General features: G+C 40.9%; 1 long non-coding RNA gene across 1 annotated transcript, besides 1 other annotated feature; it reads right to left on the bottom strand.

Moving 5' to 3' along the window:
* Nucleotides 1–2,263: 2,263 nt before the first annotated feature.
* Nucleotides 2,264–22,945, bottom strand: LOC124903081 (uncharacterized). The gene is made up of 2 exons (XR_007063589.1): nt 22,864–22,945; nt 2,264–2,472 (listed from the first exon to the last, which is right to left on the bottom strand). It is a non-coding gene; the product is annotated as an uncharacterized LOC124903081 (long non-coding RNA).
* Nucleotides 13,698–14,199: an enhancer, noted in NCBI's record as "NANOG hESC enhancer chr12:115596667-115597168 (GRCh37/hg19 assembly coordinates)". NCBI's record gives its function as "activates a minimal SCP1, AML or CMV promoter by ChIP-STARR-seq in primed H9 embryonic stem cells {active_cell/tissue: H9 hESC(primed)}" and the evidence as "EXISTENCE:reporter gene assay evidence [ECO:0000049][PMID:30033119]".
* Nucleotides 22,946–25,861: the final 2,916 nt, after the last annotated feature.

Below are 25,861 nucleotides of genomic sequence, written 5' to 3'. Positions count from 1 at the left end.
TGCTCTGCTCTATACTACAGCAGAGATAGCAGCTAAGTCACACATGAAACGCTGCTAATAATTTGGACAGGCAGCATATGTCAAGGAAGAAATGGAGACTCTCTGGCAAAGAGAATAGCTTAAACAAAAGGTGAGTGTTCAGTTGGCGGGCTCTTAGGCATGATTCAGTGAGGACCAGATACGCAAAGGCTGCAGATATAAAGGGTTTGTGAGTCTAAAAATTCAAGCTCTAAAGATGGTGTGCCTGGGTTTTGGACACATTTCTTGTCTTTTACATCATCCGTGAAAGACCTGCCAAGAGAGGGTTGTGCACCGAGACGCCAACATGAAAACAACTAATTTTCTTGGGAAGAATCTCAAAGACCAGTGACCTAACTACCAGATCATATTTTAAAAGGATGTTGTAAAGTTCCCTTGTTAAGAAAGAGGAGGAGAGATAGTCACCACCACCACCACCCCACTTTTATTACTGTTTATTATTACAGAGATCATGTACAGAGAAGGCAAACTTAAAAAAACAAATCCTCCAAAGAAAATGAAGCCTTCTTTCTAATCTGGGAAAACTCAATGGGATTTAACTGAGATAAAATTCCAGTCTCCTGTCTCAGTGACCCTCCAGCAATTGCTCTGCAAATGTGGCATTTGCTCATGTCCATCCTCCACATTTTGTTCATCTGTTCCTGTCTCCCAAACAGGAGGATGCTGATGGGGCAGACACACAACTTGGTTGTGATCAGAAACAGCTGGGGGCTCCTCAAACCCTGCACCTTCAGAATTGGATACCACCAGGGCCTGTCTGACTTGCTTTGCTTTCTTCCAGCTTACGAGTTTCTCTGAAAGATACCAGCCCAGAATATGAATGCCTCTACCTGCATACCCAGAATCCGAGACAGGCGTTCTTGCAAATTTCATCTTTCCAAGAATACTTCACTTGCCCCATTCTTAGATAATTCAGTCTCCCCTTTTCTTGCTGACAATTGTTGCTGGGATCACTGAAGAACTTATGCTATATCATGGTTCATTTCATTTGTTCTTTCACTGGGCAAGTGTTTAATGAGCATACACTATATGACAGATAGTATTCTAGGCACTGAGGATACAGTGGTGAACAAGGCAGTGCCCCTGTCCTCATGGAGCAGGCATTCTCAGGCTAGATGTACTTCTGTCATTCATCTGCTTGACAACCTCTTTCTTATCCTTCAAGATACAATTCAAAGACCATGTCTTCCCCCAAAATGATCCTGTGATCGCCTGCCGCCCTTGGAAAAACTGACTCCATTCTGCTTAACCATTGCTTCTGTGGCCTCGTTTTGGCTTGCAACATTCTGCCTTATTTTATAGTGGGTAGCTGATGTGCCCTCCTAGTAGCACTCACAATAAATATGGGCTACTCACTATTGGGAGGGTGTTATCTGAGATCTAATGGACTGGGCTTGAAGCCCAGCTCCTCTACTTCGAACCGTGAACTTGAGTGATTGACTTAACTTCTCTGGGCCTCCAATTGCTCATCTCTAAAGTGAGAATCATAACCATGCCTACCACATAGGGTTTCTGTGAGTATTAAAGGAGATAATAATAAATCACCCATTTAGCACAATACCTGGGGCATAGGAAGAGCTTAAAAAATCTGCTATTATTAGTCTTTTATTAACAAATATTAATTGGGCACTGTGGCAGACATTACTATCACCAGTGCTAGCTATCTTTTTTGTCCTAAGCAAATAGGAGAGACTACACTTCCCAGCCTCTTTGAATTTAAGAAAAGCTGAGTGACAGGTTGTAACCAGAGAAATATTAACAGAAGTGACATATGTCACTACCAGGCTAAAATGGTTAAAGTTTCCTGTGTATTTCATAGCCTGTCTTCTGCTGCTGCTTAAACCAATGACTCCACAGTAGATGGGCCAGGAGATCTGCTCTAGTTGTGCTGTTCTAAGGATGGATGGATTTGGTGGATGTTAGGGAAGTCAGTGCTTGAGTGTACCAAAGTACATTCCATAGCCAACCGTGTGTGAGCCTAGTACTACAGCTGGAGGCTTGGGAAAACCAAGAGACTCATCCCCTAGCTCTGCAAGATCCCAGACATAACTTGGCTTAGCTTGACCATGGAAGGTAAGCAGTCATTTTCCAGGTGACAGACATCAGAAAGGGGTTGAGAAACATAGGCTTCCTTTCCAAGAAAGAGAGGAGACCTGGAAGAAAGTGTGCAGGTCAGCAGGGTGCCATAGCTACTATGTTTTAGTCACTCTCTGTGCAACGGGGCTATTTGCAAAGTTCTTTACAAACTTTATTTTATTCAATTCTCATAACCACCCTTAGGCATCAATGTTTGTTTTTCAGATGAGGGAACGGGCTCAGAGAGATGAAGTCAGATGGCCAGATGGCTGATATGTAGCAGAAGTGAGGTTCAAATCTAGGCTTGTCTGAAGTCCAAATCTCATCACCAGTTGTTTCTGCTCTGGGACCAGCTCCCTAGAAGAGTAAGCAAAATGAATGACCATTGGAGGCTTTGGAATCTTAAAACCCTCGGTTCCAATCCTGACCTCTGGCTAGCTGTGCGACCTTTGGGAACTGGCTTCACTTCTGTGAGCCTCTATTTTTCAATCTGACCGCAAAGCTCTTCTGTTTTACTGTAAAGATATTATAAGAGACATATGGGAAGCTGCGTAGCATGGGACGTGGCGTGTATTGACCACCACAGCAATGTGAATTCTCTTTTCTACTCCCATCAGGAAAGGATGGGGTGAGATAACTTCCTTCACTCTCCCCTCACCTCCCCTGACCATAAAAAGCCTAGAAAACCTGGGAGAGCTCCTTTTGAAAGGCTATCCTTTTTGGCAGCCAACTTTGAATTTCTCAGCTATCATTTGGAGCTTGGAGTTCTCACATCTGTGATGGATGAGCAGAGAATATAAACACGTAGTTAGTGTTTGAAACCACTGGTTAGAATTGGGAGGGAGGACAGGCCAAGGTCCAGGACTTTAAACAGAAAAATAGTACATATTTCCATTAAAATGAAAAAAAAAAGGTGAGCAGAAAAGGAAGCTACACAAATCATTGAAAAGTTATTTGACCTGCTCGAAAACTTTAATTGCTGATAATGGCCAACCTGTTTGGTGGTATCTTATTAACATTAATAGATTTTTACATGATATTTCTCATATTGCTCTCCAAGAGCCTCAGGAATTCATCAAATATTAAAAAGTAGTGCTCTAGGTTGTTCATTCAGTTAAAGATGCCCTCCTGATGAGGTTTCCCGCAAGTTAGAGACCTGGAGAAAGGAGGCAGCACGGGATTGATGTTCACTGTCAGCCTCGGCAGGGGAGATAAGAAAATAGTAATAATCATGAATGTTTATCGGGTGCTTACTCTATGTCAGGCACTAGGCTAAGCACTGTGTGTGTGTGTGTGTGTGTGTGTGTGTGTATGTGTTTTATACACAGAATAATCCCATAAGGAAGGTACTCTTAGCATCCCTGTTCTACAGATGGGAAAACTGAGGCTTAGATTTTGAAGGTAGTGAGAATGAAGAATAAATGGAGAAACATTAGCCAGGCTTTGGAAACAAGCAGATGAGGGCTTTTTCCAGATCTGCTTCTTGTTCCCCGTGTGGACTTGAACAAGTTACTAGCTCATTCTCTGCCTGAATTTTCCCTTTTTAAAAATTGGGGTTTTTATCCTTATTTTACAGGTGAGATATTGAGACGCAAGGTCACTGAGCTAATAAATGGTGAGGCCAGGACTCATTAAATGGTCTTGAATTTGGTCCAATTGCTTATTACTGCATGATGAGCAACCTCAGAACTTAGTGGTTTAAACCAACCATTTTATCTTACATGTGATTTTGTAGGTTAAGAATGTGAGAAAGACAGCTGGGAATTTCACCTACTATACACATGGATTTAGCTGAGGATTCGCTAACTTCACTAAGTTAGGGTTGGGGGATTTAATTCTCAGATGTCTTTTTCATTCACATGAGCTTCTTTTTCTCCACCTGGCATCTTATCCCCCCAGAGTCCCTGGAGGGCCTCTCTATGTGGCTTGTGCTTCCTCACAGCATGGCAGTGTCAGGTAGTTGGACTCCTTATATGGTGTTTGGCTTGCACCAAAGTGAGCATCCCCAAAGACAAGAAGTGGAAGCATCATTTCCACCATACTCTATTGGTCAAAGCAATCGCAGATCACCTTTCTCTCTTGATTCAATGGGAGGGGATCTAGATCACATTTCTCAATGGAAGGAATGTCAAAGAACTTACACCTATCTTTAGTCTGTCTCACTGTACATAGTAAGAATCCAATAAGTGGTAGATCTTACTTAGAAAATAAATCTATAAAATGAATGCCGCTAATACCCACTCACTACCCAAGGTGATTGCAAGCATTAATGAATGCAAAGTACAATGCTGGATAGTTGGCAAAACACAGATGCATAATACAGTAAGCTTCCTCTCTTTAGTGACTACCAGGATTCTCTGGCCAGAGAGGTAGTATTATCCCAAGTGTAGGATTGCCAGATACGACAGAGTACATCTAGTGACATTTGTGTTTCAGATAAACAGTAAATACTCTTTTAGCATAATTATGCCCCATGAGATATTGAAGACGTTTTTCAACTAAAAAATTATTCATTGTTTGTCTAAAATTTAAATGTAGTTGGGTATCCTTTTCTTCTTTATTTATTCGCTAAATCTGGCAATCCTACCTGTGTATAGATGGAAAAGCTGACACCAAGAATTCTAGTTGTATTCTTTGGCCACAGAGTTGAGGAAGATTGAATTTGAAATTTGAATTATACACCAGCCATGATCTGTCCAGACTTGAAGCTCTCCTTCCTCCAGTCAAACCAGGAAAGAAGCAGAAGAGGAAGAAGATAAAAATCTAACGTCTTCCAAACCTTCCAACCATCTTGAGCCTATCAGTAAGAGTAGGTAGGCATCCAACATTCAATACATTTATCTAGTCATGGAGCTCACTATGAAGTTATGCGGCCTTGGAGAAGTGACTTAGTGTTTCTATACCTCTCATCTGTAAAATGGGGGAATAATAACAGCAATTTAACCCAGAGGGATATTGTGAGGAATAAATGAAGTACAATTTTAATAGTTTCTGATCTGTGCTAATTGCCAGCATAAAACACATAATCATCAAATTCTGCAATAACTGAACCAATAGAAGTAGTAAGAAGTAGTAAGGGATGAAAGAGAGTGATAGTGAGGATATCTTTACAGAAGTTATAGCTAAGTAGGGTTGTGATAGATAGAAAGAAGTTTGCCAAACAATCAGAAAGAAAAGCTTCTAGGTCAAGGGAATGGCACATTTAAGGGGACAGAGAAACAAAGCAAAAAGTGAAAGAAGCTCCAAGTAGTTCAATGTTGTGGAGTTACGGAATGGAGTTTGAAGTTCTAGGGGCAGAGTGATGGGAGGGGAACCAAGAGACAGCCCCTCCAAGGCTTTGGATACCGTGGCCCTAAAATAAGTCTCAAACAAGGAGGGGCCCAATGAGTGTTGCATTTTGAAAGTCCAAACCATTGCGCTGGGTAAGATGAGTGAGCAAGTTAAGATTAGAGATGGAGAGACTTTTACATGATTTCAAGCAGCGAGACTCAGATTCAAAGCAGTAGAAATAAGGACATACACAAGAGAGGAGCTCGAAGAGAAATTTCGGGTGTAAAGGGAAGGGAGAAGCGCCAGATTTCCAGCTTCCAGCCAAAGCGGGAAATTTGACTTATATAGTAAAACACTGAAAAAAATACATTAAACACAAATATCCCTTTAATTGACAACTTGGGCATAAAAAGAATGCCTATAATTTGAGGAATTTCTGTATCTCTAAGGACCACTGGAGTGGTCATTTCCAGTAACGCCCCTCTAATTTTCCAGTGGAGGGCACTATGAGCTCATCCCAAAGGGAAGCAGGAGGAGGTAGTCCAGAAAGTAGTAGTCTGTAGTTGTCATACTAGCGGTAAGGCTAAAAAGAAAAATCCTAATAATTTAACCACGTACCATCCTAATCTAATGAGAACTGCTATATATTGAGCCACTGGCGTGTGTCACACATTGAGTTAAAGCTTTCATTGTGTTAGATTATCTTATTCTCACAGCAATCCTATGAGGATTAGTCAGATCTCATTTTACAGATAAGAAAACTAAAGCTTTGGTGTATTACCCAGTCAATTAGCTAGTAAGTGGTCGAGATCCAGGGATCTGTGAGCATGGGCTCTGTGCTCTTAAATACCATGCCAGAATTCAGTGTTTCTCAAGCACCAATCTATCATCCTCATCTACACACCACCTACACTATAATTGACTGAATATTATTTTTAATTAAGTAAATTTTGACTTGCCATAAATAAGAATGTGATAAATATAGAGAAATCCATAAACATTAAAACAGAGGATAGCCATTGAAATAAGTACTGTATATACAATACTATGTGTTGAGTGCAAAAAGTCATTTCTATGAAATTCAAGGTCAGCAAATAGTCTATGGGAATAACAGTCAGAATAGTGGTTGCCTTTGGGAGGCAGGGGTGGATGGACAGGCTGGAGAAACATGGAGAAACTTTGTAGGGCAGTGGCAATGATTTAAATCTTGATTGGGACGTTGGTTACTTGAGTGTAACATTGATCAAAAGTCATTGAACTGTAAACTTAAGATCTAAGCATTTTATAGCATGTAATTTTACCTCAATAAAGCCTCAAATTTAAACTTTTGTCATTATCTTAAAATAAGGTTCACCATAGATTTACATAGATGTACTGACTCCATAAACCTTAAACAGGTGTGCCTTTTCTAAACATTTGTAATACATAAGGATTAATTATTTTGTATATAGCATGATTGGTCTGTGTTGCATTTTTGTGTAAATATTTTTTGAGTTGTAAACATTTAAAATATGCCATATTTTCTGTTACAAGGGGCTCATTTTGATAGAAAAAAGTTCTAGACTCTCTCCCTTAGAAGTTGTGTAACCTTAAGTAAGTCATTCATCCTCTTTAGTTTCAGTTTCTCCATCCATATAATGTGTTGATGACAATGAATACATCCCAGATTGCAGTGGTGCCTACATACAAATGTAGGTGATGGTAAAAGTGCCTTTCAGACATGCAGAAAATATAGAAACATAGTTAATATTCTAGCAAATAAAGTGTCTTCCTTAATGAAGAACTAGCTGTTTCCTAATTAACTGAAATATGTGACCATTCATTCATTCATTCATTCATCCATTCAGCAAATACTTGGGTGCCCATGATATGCCAGGCACCATTCTAGGTAGAGAATACACTCCAGCAAAAATAATAAAGGAGGTGAATTGATTATATATTGAAAATGCTGAGCACTCAGGCTGTAGTCCATAAAGAGTGGTTGTTATTATTACTACTAATCATGATTGGAAGCAAAAAAATCCTCAAAGACAGTTATAAGGTGGCAGGGGAGATAGAGAGAGGTTGGTTAACCAATACAAAATTACATAGCTGGGAGGAATAAGTCTTGGTGTTCTATGACTCTATAGGGTCATACAATAATTTATTGTAGATTTTCAAATAGCTAGAAGAGAAAATTTTGAATGTTTCCAGCACAAAGAAATGATAAATGTTTAGGTGATGGATATGCTAATTGCCCTGATTCGATCATTACACATTATATACATGAATCAAAATATCCACACTCTACCTCATAAAAATGTACAATTATTTTATGTCCATTTTATAAAAGACAATTTTGCTTCATTCTCCTTCACCCACAAGTCTTCAATATTTTCCTTTCCCCTACATCTCCAGTCCAAATATAGAATTATAATATGAGCAATAGACTTTCTTTTGAGGCTCTCTGTAATCCTCTCCCTTCTTTACCTTCTATTTGGGGGAGAATGGTGTACCATATCTTTTTCATCATTTGGGGATGGTTATACAAAAACTCTGTTTTTTTTGTAAGGATGGGAAGGGCATTATCTCTGCTAGCTTTAACACAGAGCAGGAAGGTCAGCAGGGCTCCACCCCGGTCATCACATCACCTGGTGGAAAGAGGAAGGAATGCTTCCTATACAAATATGGAAGCACTCTTGCGTAGGGCAGAGAGGGTCACCAGGCTGCTTCCCCATCATCTCTACAGCACTTAGTGGGAAGAGAGAAGGATGGGACATCTTTAATGGAGTTCACCTAGATTAGAGCAGGTACAGTCAAAAAGGTTCTGCCCTTTGTCTAGGCCCTTGACTAGAAGAGTAGGGTGTTTTGCGGGGTGGGGGGACCATTAATTTGGTCTGCATCCATTGGTGTTTCTGGGCTGCAGGATATTCTAGTGTCCAAGTTTAGACATATAGAAGGCTGAGGTTTCTAGCTAATCTACTTTCTTTTCTCTACCTTTCAGAGTCTTCTGATAGTGCCTTTCTGTTTCTTTCTTAGAGATTCTAGTTGTATTTATCAGGAGAGATAGAATGGAATGGGCCTACACCATCTACTTTCACTATATCCATTAGATAATTCCTTGTCTTGCTTGAGAAGCTGGATTTTTTGCAAGTGACTGTGTTTTAAAAGAAAAAAGTGTCTCATGAAAATCAATGTGGAACAGAAAATTAAAGTGATGGTGACCAATCTGATTCCAAGGTTTGAGAAACCATGGTATCCAACAGGTCCCCATATCTCATTACTCTGTAAATCAGCTTATTTAAGTATGATATAATATTTTTTCTTTCAATGCATGGTATTCTTCTTCAAACAGTGCTAAATTGCTAGGACTTACATATTAAATAGTTTTGGAGTGAATGACTTCATAAACAGAATTGTTATGGACTTTATGAAAAAAGATACTAAGATACTAAAATCACCCTAAACTGAGAAAGTCTAGGAACCTCTAGTCTAGAAGAAAGACCTATTCGAACTCGGAAGCAAACAAATGAATTAACCCAGAGAAAACCTGGAAGGCAAGCAAAATTTGCACTTCTCTGGAGTGTTGGGGCGGGGAGAGACACGCAAAACACAAAACAAAGCTGGTGTGCAGGTCCGTTAAAAAAAAAATCCACTTTGAGCATTGTTACTGCAAAGCTCTTTATCTGAGGAGCTCAAAGAGCTTTATTACAGGTAAATATCCTTGTCTCCAGCTGCTAATAGGAGAGGCCAGGCCCGGGGAGATTAGCGGAGAATGCCTATTTAAGGTCACATAACAGTCAGTGACAAAGTGGAGACTCACAGAGTGGTCTGTAATGGGATTTGTCTGCTGTCTATTGTATCAACCTAAGATGCTTGGTGTGTGAGGGCAAGGCTCCAATGCCGGAGTTTGCAGGAGACAGAGCATCTTAGCATCGCAGAGTGCAACCACAGAAGCGACTTGGAGGGCTATTGAGTATGTCCCCCTTATTTTTCCAGACCCCATACTGAGGGTCTGAGAGAGCAAGGGATTTTTCAAGTTCATACAACCTATTTGTATCACAGCCAGAAGGAGAATCGAGGGCTCCTAGCTTCCACCTATTTCTCTCTTTGAGTTTTCCTGGTTCTCAAGTGATTTGTCTAGGGAAACCTATTAAGGAAATTCAATTTCTCTAAGGCTGGCTCAGTCGAACCTGAGTTGGATCAAAGCTAGTAGAACATTGGTAGGGATTTGGAAGGAATTAGAGAGGAGTGATAAAGGCAGACTTAGGGTCAGAATCTTGGCTCTGTAGAAGACTAGTGTGGGACCCCAGGCAAGTCATCTCTCATCTCTGTGCCTCTGTAAGAAATGTCAAGGGCTCATTGCTTCCTAAAATGCTCCAGCCTTAGTAAAATCTACTTACTGATTGCAAGATATTTGGATCTCAGTTTCTCCTTCTGCACAATGGGATATTCATAGTGCCCATCTCAAGGAGTCCACAGAGAACTTCCATATGAGGTGCTTATCATAGAGCTTCATGCCTGGAATTGCTTTTATCAGCGTTAGCTATTTTCATAGCCACAAGAACAGTCTGCTCACACTATCCAACCTGAAATATTTGGGATGGGTCTACCCAATCGTCTATACTTGATCATTCTTCCATAATTTTTTTCTAAATCCACACCCATGTTCAAGCTTTTGATCCAACTAAGATGGCCAGGTAAAATACAGGACACCCAGATAAATTTGAGTTTTGGATAATTAAAAAGCGAATGTGTTTAGTATAAATGGAGTCCCAAATATTACATGAGATACACTGACACTTACAATTTAATGACCATTTATTTGTATTTAAGCTTACCCAGCATCTTTTATTTTTGTTTATGAAATCTCGAAACCGTAGCAGTGAGTCAGTCTTGGGTCTTAAATTCTGATTCTGGAAAAATGCCTGCCTTATATTCCATGTTCCATCTGAAGAGTCAAGACAGGCAGGATTTAATCTGTGGCTACGATTTTCTTCATGTAATGGGAATGGGACTAGCAATGCTTTCTCCAAGCTCAGTCACATTGTGGTTTGATTTCCCAAATTTTAGCTGTCCAGTGGATTGGAATAAGGAAAGGAAATAAATTTGTATTGTAAATAATTGTTTTAGTTTATAGGATGATGTTCAAACCCTAGTTCCAGAAACTTCTAGCAAGAGAAACCATATAAGGAACCTCAAAGATGTGCTGCCAGAACTACCTAGAAATGATAAGGGCATCCAGATTCATGCTGATAAGAGGGATGAAGAGAAGATCTGTAGATGTTTAAATTCTGAAGGATGAAGCTAAGTTGCTAGATCTGGAAGGTGTCCTGGTTTGGAAATTAAGAATGATGAAAACTTTCTGTGACAATGTATTGTTCTGTCACATGGAGTAATAATAGCTGCAGACTTCATTCTTATTGCCCTCCCAACTTCTCTAATTAACCTTTAAAAAATAGGTCTGTAGGCTGGTGGTTAAAATTACTGGTTTCTGGTTCAAGAACATGGTAGACACACGGTAACCTTTAGCTTCTGTTATACCCAGCTTAACCACTTACAGAGAATTTTCTAGGAGTGCCCCAAAGTCAAATGGTTTCTTGCATTGTGGAGCATCTTGAACAAAGTGATGTAAATTCGTAGGAAAATCACTTACTCCTTATCCAAGTCCATCTATCTCTACTGCCCTGCAAACTCTCATTTTAGAGAATATGAAGCTGGAAATCTGAGAGAAGCTCCAGGATGCCTAAAGTCAGACAGTTTAATACCCATGATGCAGATGGGGCAAGGATGAGGCAGAGAATTTAAGTGGCAGAAAAACCTCTTCTCTGAGCCTCGGTTTTCTCATCTTCGAATGGGACTAACTCTATATGCTTTGCAGGATTGCTGTTAGCAATCAGATGAGATGCTACACATAAAACTTAGTGCAGTGCTTAAGTGATTTAATTAGCAACAACTAATGTGTGTGTGTAAATAGATCAATATTATACCTTTCTAAGAGTTTTCTAAAAACTATGAAAGAATCTGACAAAATTGCACAGATCAAAATTTTATTGTACCAGCTATTTATTTCTATCACTGCACTATTTATCTTTTTCTAGACAGATAGATAGATAGACAGTGGATAGATAGATAATGATGACATGGATATGATGGAAAGAGAGAGAGGATGGATAGAGAGAGAGATGGATAGGTAAATAGATAATGATGACATGAATATGATAGAAAGAGAAAAACAGAGAGAGGTATGGATGTATGGATAGATAGATATAACAGATATGACAGAGAGATAGAGAAAGAGATGGGTGGATGAAGATATATATATATATATATATATATATGTGATCTTGTCATTTGTTCCCTTGATACAATAAATAAACATATTAAGTATGCTAAATCCATACATGTTCAAACAACATTGACTCCATTAAGTGCGTTAAATAGATTAAATGAAAGAAAACAGGCAGATGAACTATGAGTTCCTTCCATTGGCCTCTCCTGTTCTTACCCTGCTACAGGGCTGCAGTTGGACTAAAATAGTTGTATTTACTGAGTCTAGATGGTTCTCACCGCCTTCCTTCCCTTCCTACTGTCTGTTCCACTCTTGCTTCTCCTAGCATCTCCTGTCTTGGCTATAGGAGGCTGCTTTCTCAGCTTGACCCCTTGGGGCTTTCCAGAACCTTTTTACTTAAACATATATTGACCTAGGCCTTACTTCCTTGGGTGAATTATGCCACAGGCAGCAATCTCCGGGCCATAAATTAACCTGCAACCCCATGCAGCTGTCTGCTAATGATGTGGATGGTGAAACTGTGTCTTTGCTGAACTGGATGAACAAGGGCTCTCTAAATTTTGTCAGCTGACAGCTCCCTCTCTCCTCCTCACCTGGCTGGCTTTTCTATGACTCTTTGTCTGGTATCATCTTTAACTTGTCTCCTGCATTCATGGCAAAGATAAAAGGACTCCATCAGCTTCCAGGAAGCCAAGGAAAGAGAAGGAGCTTGATTTCATTACCTGATACATAGTAGGTGTTCTGCACATATTGGCAAGTGATTGGCGACTAGAAAGAGCACAGCATGATGTCTGCTATGATTGCTGCTATTATTCTTATTCATCTCAGCGCTCCTTAGAGCCAAGCCAGAGCCTCGTTCAGACTGATTTCTCCAGGCTCTACAAGAGTGCCTGTCATGCAAAAGGAGGAATGGAGAGATGCTGGGTTAATTCCAGGGATCAGAATTTCCTCCTTTATGGATCACTCTTCTTTCTTCACCAGCATTTTTGCTTTGTAACCTTCTGTCAAAATGCTTAGCTGGGCTGAGTTGGGTTCACGGGCTCAGATAAACATATTGACTCAATATCTCTCTCCCCTTTCTTTTGCACTTTGAATGAATTCCTTTATATCCATCTTATCTCCTCCCTCCAGGAGATCAACAGAGAATAACTTTTTATGAGTTTGAGTTGATGAATTTGTAAAATATTAATTAGCATCATGAAAGAAATTTAGGGTTAGTAATTCACCAAGAAGCTAGCCCTCTTGGTCCCATCTCCCTGAAATATCAAGTATCTGGAAGACCCCCAACTCAAGACCCACAAAACTTCCCATCAAACAGAATGATAATGATCTCAGAGCCACACATTTATGGCATCTGTAATTAACAGAGCACTCTCCTTTCTTTTAGCTTGGTTGTGCTTTCTGATTAAGTCTGTGCATTGGCAGGACAGGTGTTACGACAAACCCGTTTGTCAGATGAAAAAACTGGGGCCTGTGTTCATAAAGTAGCTCTTCTCCTGAAGGTCTCTTTACTGGGACAGCATCTGAAGAAGCAGGAAATCATGTGCAAAAATGGTACTCACCAACAGAGCTATTACTACCACTAATACATATGCTAAACATATTACATCCATTAACTCATGTAATTCTCACGGCAACTGTATGAGACGTGGGCTAGAGCCATCTTCATTGTACAGAGGAGAAATTGAGGGCCATAAAGGTTGAGTAATTTGACTAAGGTACGAAGAAACAGTGATAGCAAGGATTCCAACTCAGGTCTGTCTAACTCCAGAACAGCATGTGTAACTATTGTCCTGTTCTGAGTGGCAGTAGTTGTGCTTGGAAGCATTATTAATCTGAATCCACAAACCCTCTGAGAAATCCAGGGATTGGCTTCAGAGGGCTTGTGAGCTCTTTGAAATTGCATTCACAGATTTCACTGTTTGTGCACAATTTAAAAACAGAGAGAGTGTCTATAGCTATCAACAGATTATGATGGGGGTCCATGACACCAAAATTAGGGACGAAAGTTTAGGCCCAGAGTTAGATCATGAGTAGTAAAAGCATCTGACAACCTCAGAACCATCCAGCTGATTAAACTGTTTATACTCTGCCGCCAGATGCAGAGTTCTTTTCTTTTTGGTTCTTACCCCCCTGGCAATTGACTTTGGATAAAACTGAAAAAGTGAAGGAGCCATCTAAAGCTGTAAATATTATAGGAAGCAAGAAGCTGAGCGAGTGGGGCCAGCATTCCTGAGGCCTGGAAGAGCAGGAATGGCCCAGCTTGCCCAAGGATCAAAGGAAAGAGGCAAACCCTTCATCACCAGGTTTCCACATCAGCACCATTTAGGGCAGGAAGATGTCAAGGGGGAAGGCTTTCTTTGAAGTGTCAAGATAAGAACCGTCTCCACCTCCCTTTAGTGTGAAAGTCATTCCTCCAGGAGCCAGGGGAGGGTGTGAGGCATTTGGCTGTCTATACGAGGGCTGGAAGGAACTTATCAACTGAGGCAGACACCTTCTTGGCTCCAGGCTATGTCTGGACTCGGCCACAGATCTCCAGTGGACATAAAGCCTTAAAATATATGAAACGCTGAGCCACAGTACCTTGGTGTTCTGTCTCGGGTTGTGGATAAACTGGCTTTAGAGTTGAATAGTGGAGTGGACAGGGCCTGCATTCACATCAACTGGGTACACCTTGTTCCTTCTGGCTGGGCAAGTTGAGGCAAGTTACTTAGCCTCTCTGAATCTCAGTTCCAATGGGAATTATAGTCATAGCCCCTGTATCTAGAGTTTATTTGAAAATCAAATGAGATTATGCACACTATTTCCTTTCCACAATATCTGTTGCACAGAAACATTTAAAAAAATTTAATATCTGACTTAATATATCTGGTCTAACTGAACTTTAGAATCAAAAAGTCAGATGATGTGACATTCTTTTCACAAATATTACTTTTATCCCGTTTTAAGTGGTTTGAGTTGAAGGGTAAGATCCTGCGTTTCTTCCTTTTCCAACACAGGCATGATACAGTAGCTGAGAGCAGATTGCTGGCATTTGAAACCTGGCTTTACCACTTAATACCTGTACAAACTTTGGGATGGAAAAGTTATTTAGCTTCTCTGTGCCCTTGTTTTCTCATCTGCAAAATGAGGATGTTTTTACAAACGTTGATTATCAGAATTAACTAATTTATCCTAGTAACAGTTAGAACAGTGCTTGGCACATAGGAAGCACTTAATAAGTGTGAGTTTTAGTTTGTAAGCCCCTGCTACCAGCGTCCGTAGCTACCAATAACTATTTGTTAAAGAGAATTTATTGAGAAACTGGAGTGTACCCAACATTAGGTACCAGGATTTAGAAGCATCCATCGGCCTTGTCCCTAAAATGCTTACATTTTAATAGAAGGAATGATATACAGCCATCCAGTTGCTCATTCAATCAAAAACTTCAAGGCTTAAATTAGGCTGGACATTTATTCCCTCTATTATAGGATAGTTTGGATGTTTCAAGCTGTGGTGTTCATGGGGATTCTTTTCTCTGCCGGCAACACCCTTGGACACTTGCTCTACCCTTCTTTTTCAATATCGTTTAGCTTGAATGCCACTTATTCCAGGAAGCCCTCCCTGATTTTGGATTAAGTTAGTTCTCCCTATCTTTTTTTTTTTTTTTTTTTTTTTTTTTTTTTTTAGATGGAGTCTTGCTACATATCCCAGGCTGGAGTGCAGTGGCATGATCTCGGCTCACTGCAACCTCCGTCTCCTGGGTTCAAGCGATTCTCCTGCCTCAGCCTCCCAAGTAGCTGGGACCACAGGCACGTGCCAACATGCCCGGCTACTTTTTTGTATTTTTAGTAGAGACGGGGTTTCACCATGTTAGCCAGGATGGTCCCGATCTCCTGACCTCGTGATCTGCCTCCTCGGCCTCCCAAAGTGCTGGGATTATAGGCGTAAGCCTCCGCGCCCAGCCTAGTTCTCCCTATCTTATGCCCCATACACCCTACTTCCTCTATCATGTTTGAATGATTGGATTAATGTCTGATTTCATTATTCTTTAAATTCATAAAGATAGGCTCTAAATATGCCTTTCTTTTGCTACATCTCCAGCATCTCATGTGGTGCCTGGCACATACAGGTATTGAAAATATATTTGTGAATGGACAAATAAAAGAGGGAATTTCTGGGTGTAGATTTCCTCTGTTGGAAAGTATTCTTAATTTTCCCAGGCCATCCCAATGGCAAGTGATATTTCCACATTGCAAAGCTGAGCGGCAGTGAGTTCTGAAACTTTCAGAGCTCACAAGATCCTCTGTGGCAGTCAGTCTAGGCTAGCTGTTTTTCAGATGAAGAAACTGAGTCCAGAGGTAAGGGGATGCATCCAACTGACCTAATGTGCAGACCTGGGACTGCAACTCAGAACTTTTAACTCCTAGAATCTTCCACAAGACAAAAGGAGTGGAATTCCCTCACTAAAATTGATAATTCCTTTAGTGTAGAATAATTGGGACTTGCCAGTTAGAGATGGAGGTGACTGAGGCAGTTATTTGCAACAAAGTAGCTTTCTCATTAGAGGTAAGTATTGGGGTATAGTAAGAAAAGAAAATTAAATAAAAACATGGGTTCAAGAAAACAAGGGCTCAATTCTTGTATTATCTCAGAATACCCACAATGTCTTCATTTCTAAGTGGGTGTGATGATGCTTTATTAAGGGAATTTTATATTTCACATGAAGCAATGCCTGTGTGGCATAGTAAAGAGTGTGAGAGGCTGGCTCTGTGGTGGCTTGTGCCTGTAATCCCAGTGCTTTGGGAGGCCAAGTTAGGAGGATTGCTTCAGGCCAGAAGTTAAAGACCAGCCTGAGCAACATAATGAGATTCTGTCTCTACAAAAAAAAAAAAAAAAATTTCCCAGGCATTGTGGTGCATGCCTGTACTCAGAAGGCTGGGGCAGGAGGATTGCTTGAGCCTAGGAGTCCAAGGCTGCAATGAGCTATGATTGTACCATCGCACTCCAGCCTGGATGACAGAGCAAGACCTTGTCTCTACATCTCAAAAAAAAAAAAAAAAAAAAAAAGGAAGGAATTTGGCTGGGCTTTGTCTCTGGTTTCTAAATGGGAAACCCTAAATCTTTGGAATTTCCTGAGCAATAGGAGTCTTTGTTACTCATGAGCCTCTCAGACCATACCTGAGTTTATGGTAAGAGATGAGGTGACTCAGGATGGGGGCTGGTCAACCAGAAACACTAATCACACAGTTAGACATTTGAGGCTTCGAGACAGCCTAACCACTGGGAGGGGTGGCTGATGAAGACCAGGTTTGACCATGTGGTCCATGATTCAATCCATCATTGCTATGCAATGTAACCCCAATAAAAAATCTAGACACCAAAACTAATGGAGCTTCCTGATGACCAAAAACACTGATGTGTCAAGAGGGTGATGTACTCCGATTCCGTGGGGAGAGGCACGGAAGCTTTGTGTTCGGGACCTTCCCAGACCTCAGCCTTATGTGTCTCTCCTTTTGGCTAGTCCTGATTTTGTATCCTTTGTAATAAAACTATAACTCTAGGTATAGTTATTTCCTGTATTCTCTGAGTCATTCTAGCAAATTATCCAGCCCCTTTCAAGAGTCATGCACTCTTGAATTTTCAGCCAGTTGGTCAGAAGTGTGAGTGGCCTGGACACCCTCAAGCTTGTGGCTAGCATCGGAAGTGAGTATAGTCTTACTGGGGAGTGTGTCCTTCACTTGTGGACTTGGTGCTAACACCAGCTGGTGGTTAGCATCAGAATTCAGTGTAGAATAGCAGAGTGTGAGATGTTTATGGTAGACTGTGGCCACACTGGTTTTGTCTTTATCACAGTTTCCTTATTTCCCTTCCTGTGATGGTCTCAGAGCCCACCTTCTCTGCTGGCAACCCACTTCATGTGACTTGACTGGGATCAACAATCCCTTCACACCTCCATCACACTAGTGGACACTTAACTGAAAGCAAATTGTTCAGACTTTCCCAGGACTTTTCTATAGGAAAGATGGTGGCTTTCAGCTGGAGAATGTGAACTGTGGTTCTCCACTGGCCACCATGCCTGTCATGTGGATGGAGTGTGCCTGAGAGTTGAAGAGAAAGGCAGCCTAGTCAATCCATGAGTCTTAGATCAAATAACACTTCAGAGGAGTATTATTCAGTTACATGAGACAATAAGTCACCATTATCTTTTTGTTGTTGTTGTTGTTGATAAAAGTAATTTGAATTGGGTTCAAAAGTAAGCTTACCATCAATGGTTCACTGGATAAAGCAAATGTGGTACATGTACACCATGGAATACTATGCAGCCATAATAAAGAATGAAATCATGTCTTTTGCAGCAACATAGATGGAGCTGGAGGCCATAATCCTAAGCGAATTAATGTAGGCACAGAAAGGCAAATACTTCCTGTTCTCTCTTATAAGACGAAGTTAAATATCAAATACACATGGACACAAAGAAGGAAACAATAGGCATCAGGGCTTACTTGAGAATGGAGGGTGAGGATTGAAAAACTTCCTATCAGATACTCTGCTCATTACCTGGGTGACAAGATTATCTGTACACCAAACCCCTGTAACACACAGTTTACCCATATAACAAACCTGCACATATAACCCTTGAGCCTAAAATAAAAGTAGGAAAGAAAAAAATAAAGTTTAAAAGTAGGCTTAAAATCCCCAAATTTTCCTTTTAATTTGTAGCACACAACAACCCACACTGCTCCCTTCAATGAATAATGTAAATGGCTACAGATTCTTCTACCTTTATGGAGAGAAGTGAGTTCTCATACCTCTATACTGGAGACTATGCTGGCCCTATTGATTTGTTTGACTGATAAAATGTGGTAAAAGGGATGTTGACTTCTGACACTTAATCAAAAGAAGCCTCGAGTTTCTTCTCAGACTTTGGAACACTCACTTTGAGGCAGGACACCACTATGTATGAAGTCTGACCACCCTGGAACTGCCATGCTAGAGAGACCACCCAGGGAACAATTGAGAGGACACGACCACCTGGCACCCAGCTGGCCTAGCCACTCCTCACCAAGGCAGACCCCTCCATGGAGATTCCAGACAATATATGAAGCAGAGACAAGTCAGCCTCACTAAATACTGCCCAAAGAACAGGCCCACAGGCAGGCTCGCAGGCCCTGAGCTCTAAGGTGGTTGGTTATGCAACAATACGTAAATGAAACAGATAGTAATATAATAATAATGGTAAACCTTTCCCCAATGGTTCTTCCTATATGCCAGGTACTCAAAGGTACCATTTCATTGCTTCATCAAAGCAACCCAGACAGCCGTGATCGTGCCACTGCACTCCAGCCTGGGTGGCAGAGCAAGACCCTGTTTCAAAAAAAAAAAAAGCAACCTAAGGAGATAGGTACTATTATTAACTGCATTTTAGAGATGAGAAAACTGAGGGTTAGGGAGACAAAATCACATGTACAAGGTCACAAAACTTTGAAGTAACAGAACCAGGACTTCAGCCACTTGGATTCCAAGGCCCAGACTCTTAACTGCCACATTCTACTGCCCCTTGATTGTGCTGTGACAGCCGTAGGCATGACCCCTTCTGGAAGTTAGCCAAATCCATGGAGCTTTTGTCTTAAACAGAGCCCTGGCAATAATCAGCACACCCCAAAGGAGAGAGTTTATTCACAATGCCGTGGACAAAGTTAAGAGGAGCTAGCAATGATGAGGAACCTTCTGGAAAATCAGAAACACACTACCTACCACCCTTATGCCTGCAAGGTCATCAGAACCTGGTGAAAGCTGAAGCTGTAGGAGAGTGAAGACAGAAGATGTGACCTGCCTTCCTTAGAGAAAAGGAGCCACTGCAAACCCACCACCTGGAGGGAAGAACGAACCCCAGCCTCTTTCCTCCCTCTCTCCACTCTCCAGTGGGTGCCTCCCTTTGGCCAAACCCAAATGGGAGCCAGCGAGAAGTGGAGCCCATTGAAGTAACCCATGCGGGTCAGTTTTGTGGGCACAGGGCAGAATGGAGAAGGCCACAGAGTGAGCCTGGGCCAACAGCAATGCATTATTCATGTCGTCCCTCTTCCCCAGACTTGGTACAGGTGGAAATTAGACATCCCAAAAGTCAGATGAAAATACATGAGATATATTGTCCTCCTGGGGTTTCTGGAGTAACTAAACCCCATATCCAACTCCATTGGTTTCTGTCACCTTTCCAGAGCTCATTTCCAAAAGGAAATAACACCTGCCCCAAAACTCCACCTGCTGTATGCAGCCACCTCTCTGAATCTCCAGCTGCCAAAGGCTGACAGTAAGTCACAGGAGCGTATTGATTTCTCAAGGGAAAGATGAGTGAAGTGAAGGCAGAACTCCTCCAGGCGCTGGATGAAAACCCTTGTGCTGGAAGGTGAATGAGGCAAGCTAGGACTGGGAGGGGGAGGTGGGATAAAATCTTGCAGCCACAGCCTTTCCCAAGGAAAGGAAAAGATCTAAAGAATCTCTTCTACACTGAACACAGTCAACAGTTAACTGAAGAACTTCTGAGATTTGCATTTGACTTCATTATATGCTTTTTGATTTCCTGGACTAAGCGGACCGCTATTAATTAGTTTTTGTTCGGGTTAATCCAGCTTTTCTTTCATTCTCCCACTAAGAGTTTAAGTTTGAAATGTCACTAACAACCTGGATAATTTAGTGCCCAAACCCTCAACGGTCAGGGAATTAAAGCTAATGAATAATACGTTCAACCAATTTAATTCTAGAAGCAGCTCATTAACATATCGAAAGACTTTAAAATGTGCACCCTCCTTGACCCTAAAATTTCCTAACAAATGTTTTTTTCTAAAGAAATGATTATGAATGCGTACAGATATTCATTTAAAATGGTGTTCACTGAATTATTGTTCAGGTTTGCAAAGACTGGGAACAATCTAATATTTAAAAAAATAAAATAATAATAATAATAATAATGGCAATAATAACAGCCAAAATAATTATCATGTCAAATATTTAGTGTTTCCCATGTACCAAGCACTATTTTAAGCACTTTACTTAAATTAGCTTATTTCATACCGAAAATAATCCTATGAGTTTGATGCTGTTATTTTGACCAATTTAGAGCTAACAAAACTGAAGCGCAGAAAGGTTAAGCAACTTGCTCAAAGTTACACACAGCCTGCACATGGAGCCATGCAGGCTCATGCATAACTTTTGCCAGGGCCAAGACAAGGGAACAAATGAAAAGTCTTCAGACCATTTGAAAAGTCATAAATCAGGCCGGGCGCGGTGGCTGACGCCTGTAATCCCAGCACTTTGGGAGGCCGAGGCGGGTGGATCACGAGGTCAGGAGATTGAGACCATCCTGGCCAACACGGTGAAACCCTGTCTCTACTAAAAACACAAAAAATTAGCTGGGCATGGTGGCAGGCACCTGTAGTCCCAGCTGCTCGGGAGGCTGAGGCAGGAGAATGGTGTGAACCTGGGAGGCGGAGCTTGCAGTGAGCCAAGATTGCGCCACTGCACTCCAGCCTGGGTGACAAAGCAAGACTCTGTCTCGAAAAAAAATCTAAAAAAAATTTAAAAAGTCATAAATCAAGCTAATTAACTGTCAAATAATATTTTTTCCATTGTCTCATCTGAATAAATATGCTTTTGTAATGACTTGAGAGGCCAGGACTGAATGTTGAGTCCTCAGACTCCTTGACTCACTCTACCCGGATGTGGGGGTGTGGAGAGAACCAGCCCATGGCCAACAACTGGCCCCTTTCTTTTCCCACCCCCAGTTTCATCCCACGCTGTCAGAAGACACATGCAGATGTGTGTGGACATGCCAACAAGCACATTGAAGCTCCATTGAGACCCCTCCACCTAAACAGTGGCCTCCTCACCTCCCCTTAGGTCTGAGGGTACATACACCGGAAATCTCATCATCCTCAGGGAGCCCAGAGAAAAGCCAGGACCAACCCTAGATGCAGATTTAGGGCTGCAAAAGCAGGAAATTATTGTGTCCCAGGTATCTGGAATGTGATTTAGAAGAGGGCATGGGTTCTTAAAAAAAGGTGCATGTCTGGCTGGGCACGGTGGCTCCTGCCTGTAATCCCAACACTTTGGGAGGCCCGAGGTGGGTGGATCACGAGGGTAGGAGATGAAGACCATCCTGGCCAACATGGTGAAACCCTGTCTCCACTAAAAATCCAAAAATTAGCTGGGTGTGGTGGCACACGCTTGTAATCCCAGCTACTTGGGAGGCTGAGACAGGAAAATCACTTGAACCCGGGAGGCGGAGGTGGCAGTGAGCCGAGATTGTGCCACTGCACTCCAGCCTGGCGACAGAGTAGGATTCCAGAAAAAAAAAACAAAGAATTCGTGTCCTCACCCTACAGACTTCTCACCTCATGGGAAGAGATGGGGCAGGAGGAGGGCCAGAGTGGCATACTGATATCTCAAGGGAAATCAGTAAACACTGGAGCATGGGTCCATCCAAAGCAGGGATTCCTTTTACCCAGGTCTAAGAATGGTGTTGAAACTGGCATTTGAACCCAAATGAAACCTTGTGCTCATAGCCATTACACTAGAGTGCCCCTCAAACTGAGATTGCTTTAACAAATTGAAGTACATCTATAAAATAGAATACTGTTCCACCATTAAAGAGTGTATACATAACCATGGAAAGTTATTCTTAAAATCTTACAGGTGGTAGGAAAACCGGACATAAAATAGTAAATACACTGTGATACTTCTGTGGAAAAAATGAATGCTTGCTACATATGTAGAAAAACCACAAAAATAATACACAAAAATATTAACATATATTAGTAATGGTCGGATTTGGGATAATTTTTATTTTTATTCTCATTCTTTATCTGTATTTTCTGGGTTTTTTTAAAAGAATGTGAACTGCTGATTATTAAAGCAAAACACAACGTAAGTTGTATTTAATAAGAACAGTTCTTGCCCCCCAGATTACAAAAGGCCATATTGGAACCCACAGGAATGCTATAGACTGAAGGTTTGTGTCCACCTCCAGAATTCATACGTTGAAATCCTAACCCTCAAGGTGATGGTATGAGGAGGAGGGGCCTTTGTGGGTGATTAGGTCATGAAAGCAGAGCACTCATGAATGGGATTAGTGCTTTTATAAGGAGACCTCAGGGAGCTCCCTTGCCCCTTCTGCTGTTTGAGGACGGGGTGAGAAGATGCCATATATGAGTCAAGAAGTGGGCCCTCACCAAACACTGAGTTTGCTGTCATGTTGATCTTGTACATTCTCACCTCCAGAACCGTGAGAGATCAATGTCCATTGCCTATAAGCCACTCAGCTTAAGGGATTTTTGTGTGAGAAGCCCGAACACACTAAGACAAGGAGATACCAAGATGAGAGAGATCAGAGTGGTGAAGCCGATTACAAAGCTGTCTGTTCATGTCATTTCCTCTTCCGGTACACACAGGAAGTCTATGTTTACCAGCTTCCCTTGCAGTTAGGTAGGAGCCAATGGAAGGTGAGCGGAAGTGATGTAAGCCGTTTTCATACCTAGCCCCTAAAAAGATTGCCTGTGGCTCTCTCATTCTCTCTTCTCCTGGCATGATCTCAGAGGCCCTGTGTTCCAGAAGTCATAGCTATGAAATGGTGAATGGATGCCAAGTTTACATTATCACTGAATGAGCAGAGTGACTAACCATCCTGGTTTGCATGTTCAGAATGGAGGGAGTCCCTGGGTCTCAGGATTTTCAATGCTAAAACCAGGAAAACTAGGGCAAGTTGGTTAATTAAATGAACAAGAAATAAAATTTTATTCTCTTAAGTCTCAGAGATTTTTAGATTAGCCTGATACAGCAACAAAGCTTAGCCTTTCCAAACAATTACACAAAAAAGCTCAGGTCCTAAAGGCTGAAAGTTACAGCCTAATGCTTAGTTCAGCACTCTATGTATCCTTGTGACCGTTAACAGTTGACATTAGCTCTCCAGGCAACCATTCTGTGATTCATACAAAAGAGATGACAATTAAACCTACCCCATGGTGTCACTGGCAGAATTAAATAAAATGTAGATTTTGTGAAAATTCTTTGTAGCTATAAATCCCTGTGCAAATGTGAGTTTTTATCGTTGTTAAGACATAAAATCAGAATCTAGTTAAAAAAATACTTGCATATAGATAATTTAAAAGGCACACAATTGATACTAGAATGGTGATGTACATTAATTATTGGAAGTAGAGAAAAGGGAGAGATTAATTCTAATGGGAGGTAGGAAAATTCAGAGTTGGAGAAGCTTCTTAGAAGAGACAGCAGTTTGGAAGTTTTAAGATCTAGGACACCATGTTTATTGCAGCACTATACACAATACCCAAGATATGGAATCAACCTAAATGTCCAACAATGGATGAATGGATAAAGGAAATATGGTATACATACACAATGGAATACTATTCGGCCATAAAAAAGAATAAAAGAATAAAATCCTGTCATTCGTGACAACATGGGTGAACCTGGATGACATCTTGTTAAGTGAAATAAACCAGACACAGAAAGGCTAATATACATGATCTCACTCATATGTGGAATCTAAAAAAGTTGACCTCATAGAAGTAGTACATAGAATAGGGGTTACCTAAGACTGGGGAAAGTAGAGGGAAAGGGGATAGGGAGAAGTTGGTTAACCTGTACAAAAGGAATAATAAGTGATAGGATGGATATGCTCAGTACCCTGATTTGATCATTACACAATGTATACACGTGTCATGACATCACATTGTATCCCATAAATATGTACAATTGTTATATGCCAATTTTGGAAAATAAAAATGAAAAGACACAGGGTAGGATTTAGAAGGAAAGGAATTGCTGGTGGAAGAGTCAAGTGCTTCCTGAATTTCAGTTGTGTGCTGACTATGTATAATGTGGATCTGGATTAAATTCTGGAGATAAGTTGATGAATAAGGCATAGTTTCTGTCCCCAAGAGATGAAAAAAAAATATGTGGATGGATAGATGGATAATAGTAAGATGATATATAGACAGATGGATATTTAATGTAGTAGATTCTTTCCCATGGTATTGGCCACTTAGCATCATTTGGAAAATTTTCCTCTATTTAGAGAATTTCCCACACATGAGCTCTATCTTGCCAAAAGGCAAGTTAGATTCATTTTTCCAGCCTCTCTTCCAGTTATGTATTTAGCCTAGGCTCCACCATTCAGACACTCCCAGCATAAAAATAGGCTTGCATAGTTATCTATCATCTGGTATGGTGGAGATAAAGGTGTCCAGATTTTATGGTGAGCAATCTTTATATCTGGTTCCCAGTGTCACTGGTGAGAACTGCAATGTTCACATGAGCTGCGATGTTGGTGCCAAGAAAGGAATGGCAGTTTTTACTGGGGCAGTCATCATAGTGTGTGCTTTAGATATTATTCTTGATTCCGTACACTATAAGCTTGACTCTACAGGCCTCCTAGGGATTCTGTGAGTCACTCCATATCTTTTAACAAATATATATTTGAATTAAACCAGCTAAATTGGGCTTTGTGGTTTGCAGCCAAGAATGCTAATTAGACCAACAGATAGAAGAGTAGTTAGATAGATGATACATAGCTAGATGACAGATAGGTAGAATATATATATATGAATAGGTAGATAATAGGTGATAGATGATAGATATATAGATAGATAGATAGATAGATATATAGATAGATAGATAGATAGATAGATAGATAGATAGATAGATAGATTTTGCACAAAATATAAAATAATCACCTGAAGGCACTAGAGAGTGACTGAGAGCAGGTAGATTCTAGAAAAGAGTTGATACTGGGAAGGAAAGAACTGCACTGAGTGAGCTTCCTATTTTCATTGCTTCTATTCTAGTCTGAGAGCAGGCACCAATTGCACCAGTCCAGAAAGGAAAGAGCCAGAGAGGGAGTCCTCCAGATTGTGTATGTAAACTCTACTCACATCTCTGGTTGGCTCCTGAACCATACACACATGGGTGGACTCCAAGAAGTCTAGCAAAGGCTAAAAGAACTGTACAGAGAATTGAGTTTCTGCCTACCAAAGGAGAGAGAGTACTTGCACTCCAAATTCAACTAAGTTAAATAGTTGCTAAAACCAAAGACCTGTCTATGTATGTATGTATGCATGTATGTATGTATGTATGTATGTATCTATCTATCTATCTATCTATCTATCTATCTATCTATCTATCTATCTATCTATCTTCTATCTATCTATC

This window comes from Homo sapiens, chromosome 12 (assembly GCF_000001405.40).
Source record: "Homo sapiens chromosome 12, GRCh38.p14 Primary Assembly".
In the NCBI taxonomy this organism is placed as follows: domain Eukaryota; kingdom Metazoa; phylum Chordata; class Mammalia; order Primates; family Hominidae; genus Homo; species Homo sapiens.
Note: the sequence above shows the minus strand (reverse complement) of the source record. Positions and strands in the feature narration are given on the sequence as shown.